This window comes from Homo sapiens, chromosome 7, assembly GCF_000001405.40.
Source record: "Homo sapiens chromosome 7, GRCh38.p14 Primary Assembly".
In the NCBI taxonomy this organism is placed as follows: Eukaryota; Metazoa; Chordata; class Mammalia; order Primates; family Hominidae; genus Homo; species Homo sapiens.
In genome coordinates, this window is record NC_000007.14 from 27,415,378 (window position 1) to 27,425,952 (window position 10,575).

Here is a 10,575-nt window from a genome sequence, read left to right on the forward strand (position 1 = left end):
ATTGGCATTTCTAGAGTGCCACCCCGTGACCAGTACAATGCTGGTGGCTTACGGGTGTTCTCGCTTTAAATTAAAGAGTGCCAGCCAGGCGTGGTGGCTCACACCTGTAATCCCAGCACTTTGGGAGGCCGAGGCGGGTGGATCACTTGAGGTCAGGAGTTCCAGACCAGCCTGGCCAACGTGGTGAAACCCCATCTCTACTAAAAATACAAAAAATTAGCCGGGTTTGGTAGCCTATGCTGGTAATCCCAGCTACTCAGGAGGCTGAGGCAGGAGAATCGCTTGAACTGGGAGGCAGAGGTGGTGGTGAGTCGAGATCATGCCACTGTACTCCAGCCTGGGCAACAGAGCAAGACTCTGTCTCAAGAAAAAAAAAAAAAAACAAAAAAATAGTGCCTTCTGTTGGCACTCATCTGATTGCAACAAGTTAATGCAGTCAAGGTCAGAATTGCTGAGGTCAGAACCTCAGGCTGTTTGTCACCCCAATTCTAAAGTGCTCTCTGGAGTCTAAATGACTTCAAGAAGTCACTCTTGGATGAAGGTCTTGCTTGCAGCAAAGTAAAACCACACATTTTCAGGGACCCACCTCTAGTCTATTAATTAATTAGTCCATTAATTGTATCACCCTTGGCACTATTAACATCCTGGATTGAACAGTCTTCTGCTGTGGGGGGCTGTCCTGTGCATTGCAGGGTGTGTAGCAGCCTCCTTGGTCTCTACCCACTAGATGCCAGGAGCATCACCCCAGCTGTGACAACCAAAAATGTATGTCTCCAGACTTTGCCCTAGATGACAAAATCACCATGGATTTTTGTTGTTGTTGTTTTGTTTTTTGAGACAGAGTCTTGCTCTATCGCCCAGGCTGGAATGCAATGGCACGGTCTCGGCTCACTGCAACCTCCACATCCCGGGTTCAAGAGATTCTCCTGTCTCAGCCTCCTGAGTAGCTAGGATTACAGGCGCACACCACCACGCCCGGCTAATTTTTGTATTTTTAGTGGAGACAGGGTTTCACCATGTTGGCTAGACTAGTCTCAAACTCCTGACCTCATGATCTGCCTGCCTCGGCCTCCCAAAGTGCTAGGATTACAGGCGTGAGCCACTGTGCCTGGCCTAAAATCACCATGTTGAGAACCAGTGACCTAATGTGCACTGAATTAACCTTGAAAATACATGTGTTTAAGAGAAACTCACAGAAACCTCAGCACTCATTCAGCACCACTCATTCAGCCACTCATGGAGCCACTCCCGTGTGCCAGGGCAGGACAAGGAGACTCTAGGTGAGATCACAGCTGTATCCCACCCCCTGGCCCATAGCGAGACTGTCCTCTTTGGCTTCCTTGCCACCAGCCTGCCGCCTGCCACCTGCCACAGCCTCTCCATCATCCACACAGTTTCTATAAAGAGATCTGAACTATCACTTATCTCTTTAAGACCCTCAACAGCCTTAGAGGATAAAATCCCAATGCCCGTTAGCATACTCGAGACCCTTCACCATCTGGCCTCAGTCACCTGCGTAGCCCCCTCTACCCCAGTCTCCGACTGAATGGTCTAGTCCCCTTCACCTTCTCTGTCTGTGCCCTAAATGGGATCATGCCTCCTCTACCCTGACCACACCCTTGTCTCCACCCCTGCCTTGGCTCCAATTGCTCACTTTTTTTTTTTTTTTGAGACGGAGTCTCGCTCTGTCACCCAGGCTGGAGTGCAGTGGCATGATCTCGGCTGACTGCAAGCTCCGCCGCCCGGGTTCACGCCATTCTCCTGCCTCAGCCTCTCCAAGTAGCTGGGACTACAGGCGCCCGCCACCACGCCCGGTTACTTTTTTGTATTTTTAGTAGAGACGGGGTTTCACCGTGGTCTCGATCTCCTGACCTCGTGATCTGCCCGCCTCGGCCTCCCAAGGTGCTGGGATTACAAGCGTGAGCTACCGCGCCCGGCCCTGACTTTTTAAAAATTAATTTTTGTGAGTACATAGTAGGTATATATATTTATGGGGTACATGAGATGTTTTGATACAGGCATGTAGCATGTAATAATCACATCAGAGTAAATGGGGTATTCATCACCTCAAGGATTTATACTTTGTGTTACAAACAATCCAATTATACTCTTTTAGTTATTTTTAAATGTACAATTAAATTATTATTGACTGTAGCCACGCTGTTGTGCTATCAAATACAAGGCCTTATTCATTCATTCTATTTTTTGTACCCATTAACCATCCCCACCTCCCCCTAACTCCCCACTATCCCTTCCAGCCTCTGGTAGCCATCCTTTCATTCTCAGTCTCCATGGGCTCAATTGATTTGACTTTTAGATCCCACAAATAAGTGAGAACATATGATGTTTGTCTTTCTGTGCCTGGCTTATTTCACTTAATGTAATGACCTCCAGTTCCATCCAAGTTGTTGCGAATGACAGGATCTCATTCTTTTTTATGGCTGGATAGTACTCCATTCTGCATGTACCACATTTTCTTTCTCCATTCATCTGCTGATGGACACTTAGGTTGCTTCCAAATCTTGGCTATTGTGCAGTTCCTCACCTTTAAGCCACAGAGGCTCACTGAGCCTTTAAAGTTCAGATCCAGTTCCAACTCTTCAGCTAAGTCTTTCTCAACATTCCTTTCAAGCCTTTAAAAACAAATGGCTTCTGGAACTACATCCCCATAGTACCCCGCTCACACATCTGCTGTGCATTGTGCCTCAGCTGGCCTGTTCTTCCATCAGTAAGTGTGTGCTGAGGATCTGCTATGCGCCAGGCACTCTTCTAGACCCCGGGAGAGAGAGGTGAACAAATCTGGCAAGATCTGCCTTTGCCAAGCTTACACTCTAGATAGGGAGCTAGAAAAGAAAATAAATGACCAAACATAGTCAGAGGGTCATGGTGCCAGGAGTTGTACTCGGTTTTGGGAGTAGAACTGAGCTAGGCCCAATCCCTGCTTTCAAGGAGCTTATGGTCCTGGGGATGGGGAGGGAGGGGAGCATGAAATGAGGGAGTAGAGGTGGGGGGTTATGGGAAGAGGAGGAAAGAGCATCTAAATACTGGGCCCAAGTGTGAGGAGTCCCCAAAGTCATGGAGAGGTCAATGAGCGATGGCCAGAAACCACAGGGAAGGCTGATTTAGAAACTACTGGAGAACCTTCTGAGAGGGTCAGGACGTTGACAAGGTAGAATGCATTCTAGGTAGGCCCAGCCTGAGAGAGAAGAAAAAGAGATAGTTTCCAGAAATGCTTAGATGGTATCCCCATCCAAATTTACCTCAGTCCAGAATTTTCCCCTTTGCTTCAAGGCCACTTGACGATAGTGGTCAAGACAGAACTGGAAGTCCTAAGGTCATATCCCTGATTCATATCCTGTGCCTGAAACCCTGCTACTTCCTGAATTCCTGTGCTCCTCGGGTAAGACTTCCTCGTGGAGATGGAGCTAAAGAAACTAAAAGACACTCCCACCCTTGTTAGGATAGACTTTATTTGCACATAAGGTCAGACAAATTTCCATAATGCCACCTGCTATGGACTGAACATATTCCTGCAAAATTCATGTGTTGAAAGCTACTCCCCAATGTAATGGTATTAGATGAGGTTTGAGGAGGTGGTTTGGTCATGAAGGTGGACCCCTCAAGAATGGGATTAGAGCCCTTACAAGTGGCTGAAGCAACCAGAGTGTTCCTTTTCCATGCGAGGACATAGCAAGAAGGTCCCACCCAGGAGCCGTAAGCAAGCCCTCACCAGACACTCAATCTGCCTTCAATGTGGACTTCAAGGTCTGTGGGAACTGTGAGAAATAAATTTCTGTTGTATATAAGCCACTCAGCATATGTAATTTTATTTTAGCAGTCAGTTCAAATGGGCTAGATGCTACGCTTGAGGGGACCTCCAGGAATAGATAAAGGCTGTGTCCCATGTCTCCTGCAAAGCAAGAAGTACACCACAATATATAAAATAAAAAGCCAAAAATCATCCCAAGAAGTCGACATTATATCATCATTAAGACCCAGTTGGTCTTTACTTGCCCTGTTTTCCATGGTTTGTCTGAATTCTCTCCCACCTTCCCACCATGCCAAGACTGCAGGGGTGTGTTGACTTTCATTGCCTTGAAATAGTTAATCTTTGCAACCAAGGTTCCAAATGGGAGGCTTAAACTGGGAATCAGCTCACTCTGTGTGTAGGTCATTTAAGAGCTCAATCTCATCTTTGAAATATAGATTAACTAGGAGAGTATGAGTTCAGCATTTCTCTATAATGTTGTTTCATTGATCCTGCGGGCCAACTGGACATGGCTTCAGATGGATACCTAAAAATTAGTTTTAAAACTTTCCCATCTTTTAATATTTTATAACCTGTCAGAAAATCAATTATGGACTCTGCCCCCTTTCAACGCTTGGTTTCATAGGAGCTGATGTTTAACCAAAGCAAGGTTCTTTCCTCTCCTTTACAAAAAGCAATGGACAAGTTTAGAGTAAATGATGACTTCAGGGAATTTCTTGGATTTGTAAAGATTTAGAGATGAATTGAATAGCTTTGACCTGCCAAGTCCACAGCTTGGGTTTCTCTCTCTCCTGAGCCATAGCCAGCAAATGGTTTCCCTAAACACTGGGAAAGATCAGGGATCCAGAGGTCAGTATTGTGGGAACCCAGTCATAATTTAAACTTGTCAAATATCTTGATATATTTCTTCAAGCCCAGTGAATCACAAAGGGCCTTTCTCCAAAACCTGTCCTTCCTCTTATGCACACACATGCACATGGAGCACAATCTTTCAGGTTTAAAAAAATTTTTTTTTCATTTTTTAGTTTAGGAGGATTTAAGGGAAGAATAAAGATTAGGAGATATGCCAGAGCGATTTTTATTTTTTCTTTTTCTGTATTTCATAACATTTCTAATATGAACATATATTAATTTTGTAAGAGAAAATAAAGTTAAAAAAAAAAGAACCTAGGTAAAGTCACACTAACATAACACTAAGAATCCATGTTGAAAGAAAGTGGAATTAATTTTAGGTTAACAATAAAAATTTCAACTTCCATAGCATGCATACTCCAATCACTTCTGAATGGCCATATTCATCAAAATGAACTATAGTTTGTCCCATGAAAATAGGTAGAAGCCAGGAACCGTGGTGCACATCTATAGTCCCAGCTACTTAAGAAGCTGAGCCTGGAGGATCCCTCAAGCCCAAGAGTTCAAGGCTGCAGCGAGCCATGATCGTGCCACTGCACTCCAGCCTGGGCAACAAAGTGAAACCCTGTCTCTATTTAAAAAAAAGAAAGAAAGAAAGAAAATAGGTAGATTAAGCATTCATGTTTAAGAAATGGGTAAGGAAGAAAGAGAGAGAGAGAGGAAAGGAAGGAAGACAAGAGGGAGGAGAAAGAGATAAATCCTGGCCAGGATGAAAGGGGAGAAAAGGAAGGGGAGTTGTAGAATGAAAAAGGAAAGTGGATCGAGTCAGATGCTATTGAACTGATAAAGTGTTCAGTTCTGTTGGGGAAATTCCAGCTGGCCTCACACCCATGTTTATTGCAGTAGGTAGCAGCAGCAGTATAATACCTCTCATCCCTGGTAGTACCCATGGCACAACTGCACATTATGCTGTAAATGGAAGCAGAACACTTGCTATCTTTATTGTGCTGACATTTAATGACTAGAAGAGGCCTGGGAGAGAGATACCCACGAGATCCTGCCTTTGGTATGTTGGCCACAACTTCCAGAATGGGGATGCCAGTTACTTGCCTCTCTTTATGCTTTTGAACAAACTAGCCACCAGCTGGGCTTTCCAGATCTCTCAGTGGTTAAAGAGCTGGGGAAGTCTCGGGAAGAAGGTGGTATGTTTAGCCTGGGGCACGGGGAAAGTAACATGGCTGCTGGTAGCAGGCACAGTGGTAGGGGAAGCCCTACGTGGATTACAGTGAAATGGAGTTTACCTAACAAATTAACAAATAATATGTTCAATTTCTGCTTTCGGCCTACCTGTCTGGTTGGTTCTGAGAACTCAAGTTAGTTCTTCCTTATTTCATTCGCCAAATTTGACAAGTCCCTGAAATTCATCACTGGCAACTTAACCCAGTTTGTTTCTTCTACCAAATGCAAGGAACCAAAACATTTTCTTTTCTTATTCCCATTTGGCAATGACATTTTACTTTGGATAGTGGGACATGTCTAAACATCCTCCTACTTATTAGTTACAAAGGTGCCATAATGTAGGCCTCAATTCAAATCCACCTCCCACATGTAGTGGGAACTTGGGCAAATTAATTTACCTCTCACTACCTTAGTTTCCTAACCTCTAAAATGCAGAGGGTAACAACAGTACCTCCTTGTCATGGACGTGTTGCAAGGATTGCCCATGTTCATGAATGTAAAGCATTTTGAACAGTGCCCAGTGTGAGTTTAATGCTCTGTGTTCACTATGATCATTTCAATCATCCACACATATTTTTGAGTCCCTGTTATGTGCCAGGCGCCTTCCTGATCACCAGGAATAGAAAAGTGAGGATGTCTTTGGAGCTTATATTCCAGTGGAGCAATAGAGTCATAACAAAATGAACAACAATAACGGCCACTAATATTTATTGGGATTATAATATGCATAGCCTTACTTGATCTTTCTAATAATCCTAAGAGGTAAGTAAGAGTATTGTTTCATAGGAGAGGAATCCACAGGCTTCAAGGGGTTCGATAACCTGATCACACAACACAGCTGCTAAGTGGCCCAGCCCAGGGCTGGAATGGAACAACATGGTTCCCAAGTTTTCAGTCTTAACTGTGTCTTTCACTTTTATGGAATTGGGCTATTTTCAACTAACAACCGTGGTTCTAGGAAACAACACAGCCACTTTGTCCCTTTATGTTATTCTTAAAGAATCATTGCCCTGTCTCCCACTTTTATGCCAGTCACTGAGTTTTTGGTAGCCATTCACTGAACATGATCAAATTTAACCACCCAGTGTAAAGGATTTTACCTGCTGGTCAGAGGAACAACTCAGCATTTGGAAGAACATTTAATACTGTACGGCGGCGTTGGCCTTCATGCTGAGAGACAAGCGCACATCTCAAGGCCTACCCTGAACCAATCACTGGAGGATGGTTTAATTGGTTAATCATATAAATTACAATCACTTAATCATTTTAAGCACCATCAGCCAATTAGCTCAGAATTATGGGCTCTGAGGTAACAGTCATGCAAATGTTTGTTCCACTGCAGGCTATTAACAGCCATATTTTCTCTATCAAGATGACAGAGACTGATGGGTGGGGGAAGAAAAGGAAAGAGAGCATTTGTTTAGTTTAAACTTCTTTCCTGTTGGGTTATAATGAAGCATTCAGTGGGGAGGAGCGCCATGTGCAGTGATTTCTGTATCCTACTCAATGTGAGTCTCCGAGTGGATTGGAGGGAGGCCCCTGAGCAAAGAACTGCAAGGAATGGCTTCAAAACTGCTGAATCAAGACTGCGCAGGAGTTTAGCCTACTCTTGCTGCCAGGTGCTGGCTTTGTTGACCACCTGGTGTGCTCAGCCATAATACAGATAAATTGAGGACTGGCTGGGCACGGTGGGTCACACTTGTAATCCCAGGAGTTTGGGAGGCCGAGGCTGGCGGATCACTTGAGCCCAGGAATTTAAGACCAGTCTGGGCAACATGGCAAAACCCCATCTCTACAAAAAAAAAAAAAAAAAAAAACACCCAAAAATTAGCTGGCCACGGTGGCACACACCTGTAGTCCTAGCTACTCAGGAGGTTGAGATGGGAGGGTAGATTGAGCCCAGGAGGTCTAGGCTGCAGTGAGCTGTGATTGCACCACTGTACTCTAGCCTGGGCAATAGAGCCAGACCCTGTCTCAAAAAAAAAAAAAAAAAAAAAAAAAAAAAAAGAAAGAAAAAGAAAAGGAAAGAAACTGAGGACCAAAATGAGGACATGACTTTTGTGGCTGCTTTTTCTCCACCAAGCAACAAAGAGTGTCCACTAATCATGCAGGAGAATAGATCAAGTTCAGACAGAGCGTCCCCATCTACGATAACCATTACTATATACTAACAATGAAGAAAATAAAACAGCTCTGGAAAGCAAGGTGAGTCATCGTCAGCCGACCAGAAGCTGTGAACACCTGAACGTTTGCCAGTGTGGGCGTAGAGGAGCTGTTTGTGCTCATCAGTCCCTGGTTTAGGGCCTGGTACATGGTAGCTTCCCAGTAAACTCTTGTGGATGAATTAATGATTAGTGGCCAAATGTGAACGTAAGAAGCAGGGAGATGGAGGAGCACTCATCTGTTTGATGTGGCTGTGCTCTGCCAGCGTGCCTGTGCAAGTGTGTGTAAGACAGCTGGACCCTGCAGTGGAGTCTTTGCCGGCTTCTGGCTCCGGCAGAGCCTAGTGTAACTGCGCTTTCTGTCGGGTGGTCAGTTGAGTAGACTGGGTCATTTGCTAGCCTGCGATTGTAATATTTGCAAGTGCTGTGATGGTAAGGAACATCAGAACTTCAAAGATTACTTTTGTCAGGAATGTGTAGGAAGCAACATGGTTTTGTGGTCCCCAGTCACTTTGTGACTACGGCATTGTGGTCTTCAGACTTCACCTGTCTTGACTGATTAATTAAAGTTGGGGGTGGGACTGCTCCCAGCCTCTCACCATTTCCCAAGTGCACGCGCACGCGCGCGCGCGCACACACACACACACAGAGGTACATGCAACATATTTGTCATAAAACTTCATGCAGTCATTAAATAATACATACTGGACTTTTATGTGCCAGAGATCATGCAAGGGACCAGGAAAACCGCACAGAACACATAGCACTTGCCATGTGATGGCAAAGTATGGTCAAGTGCAGAGAGGAGAGGAAGACTCCTGAAGGCTGACATAATCAAGGAGAACTTCCCAGAGGAGGTGGGGATTGATCTAGGGAGAAATTAGATAGACAAAGAGATGAAAGTAGGGTACTTCATTGCACTTGTCATATTGACCTAGACTTAAAGCTTCAGGGAGAAAGTTTTCCAAATTAGGAGTTTTAATTTCCTTAAGGAAGTAACTGGCCTTGTTTTATCTTGTTTACACATGTCCCGGAGGTGCCTTGCCCGCAGGCAGCAGGAAAGGGTTCCTGGTAACTCCCTGTCTGACCTGAGCCAGAGGCTTGTCTCCCTCTCTGGCCTTGCTTTTTCTTCCTTAAACAGGGAAAAAATGATATTGACCTACCGTTGTGAGGGAAAACTGATACAAAATATGACAACACACTTCAGAGAGTGAGGTGCTCTTAGAAAAAAGAAAAGCCTAACGATAAGTATGCTGAGACACAGAAAACAATGGGTGGGAATAGAAAATTGGACTAAAATCATAGAAAGAGGTTTTAAAGATTTTCTCACTTCAGCATTTACAACACTCTATTATTGACTGTAGATTTTTTTCTTGCACTTGATTAGTCAGAAACCAGGCGAACACTCTCTAAAATCCTTGTACAGGTCAGACACTAGCAGAGTCCATATTCCTAAGGACCGAGCTGTTGAGCCACTCCCATGTTTGATTACTTCCCTTTTAGTTTTCATGCACACTCAGCTTGCACTATGTTTATTTGCCCTTGAAAGTATGAAGTCATTTTGTTTGTCTCTGGGGATTCCTCACACTCCCCACCCCTGTCACTGCCTTTGCCCCAAAATAGGTTCCTAACTTCCTGGGGGACGTGTTTAATGAGGATGTCTTGGCAAGAGAACTCCCTTAAGAGATCTTATAACATCAGAGCTGAGTCTGACTCCAGCCCCGATGAGATGTGGTCAGCTCACATGCCCAGTGGGTTCCAATTCCTCCCACCTTTCATGGTTCAGGATGGAGTTGAAACTCACCCTGGGAGTTCCCTGTACTCTTCTGGCTTGATTTATATAGCATAGAATAGTTTGTGTCTTTGAGTTTCCCCAGAAGTAGACCCAGAGACAAGGGTTCAAATGCAAATGATTTCTTTGGGCAGGGAAGGGAGTATCAGCAGGGGAGAGGGGAAACGGGACAGGGGAGGCAGCCAGTAAAAGGTGCGTGAGTAAGCCAGCTGCCCCAGTGGGCAGCTGGAGCCGAGTCTAGGAAATGGAGTAGGACATAGCCCATAATTAGACCTCCAGAGGTGAGCACACTGGGACATTTAGACACCAACTCCTGTCAGTCATTGGTTGAAGGCATTGAGGAGGGGTTGTTAATTCCGAGGAGAGGTGCTAGCAGCCGGAAGTCATCTGTCTTTTGGGGAGCACCCGGAAATGGTGGGGTCTGAGGGATGTGGATGGGACAGGAAGAGTATCTGTTAGGATTTGCATCATAACATTTATACTTTCTTGCCTAACGGTCCAAGTTCAGGGACATAGTAGCAGACTTATAGCACAATTACAAGCTTATAACATGATCGCAAATTTACACCAGGAGCCAGAGGATGACGAAAACAGCCCTTTGTTTCCCCTTTGGATCATTTATCACAGGAGACTGGGCCCACCCACTCAGACCCTGGAGGGGAGGCTTGTTTGTTGGTTTCATTCCTCTTGCTGATGATTGTGTCCACTTGGCCATATGTCCCGGTCTCAGCCAATGAAACCTGAGAGAAAGTTGAGGGTGG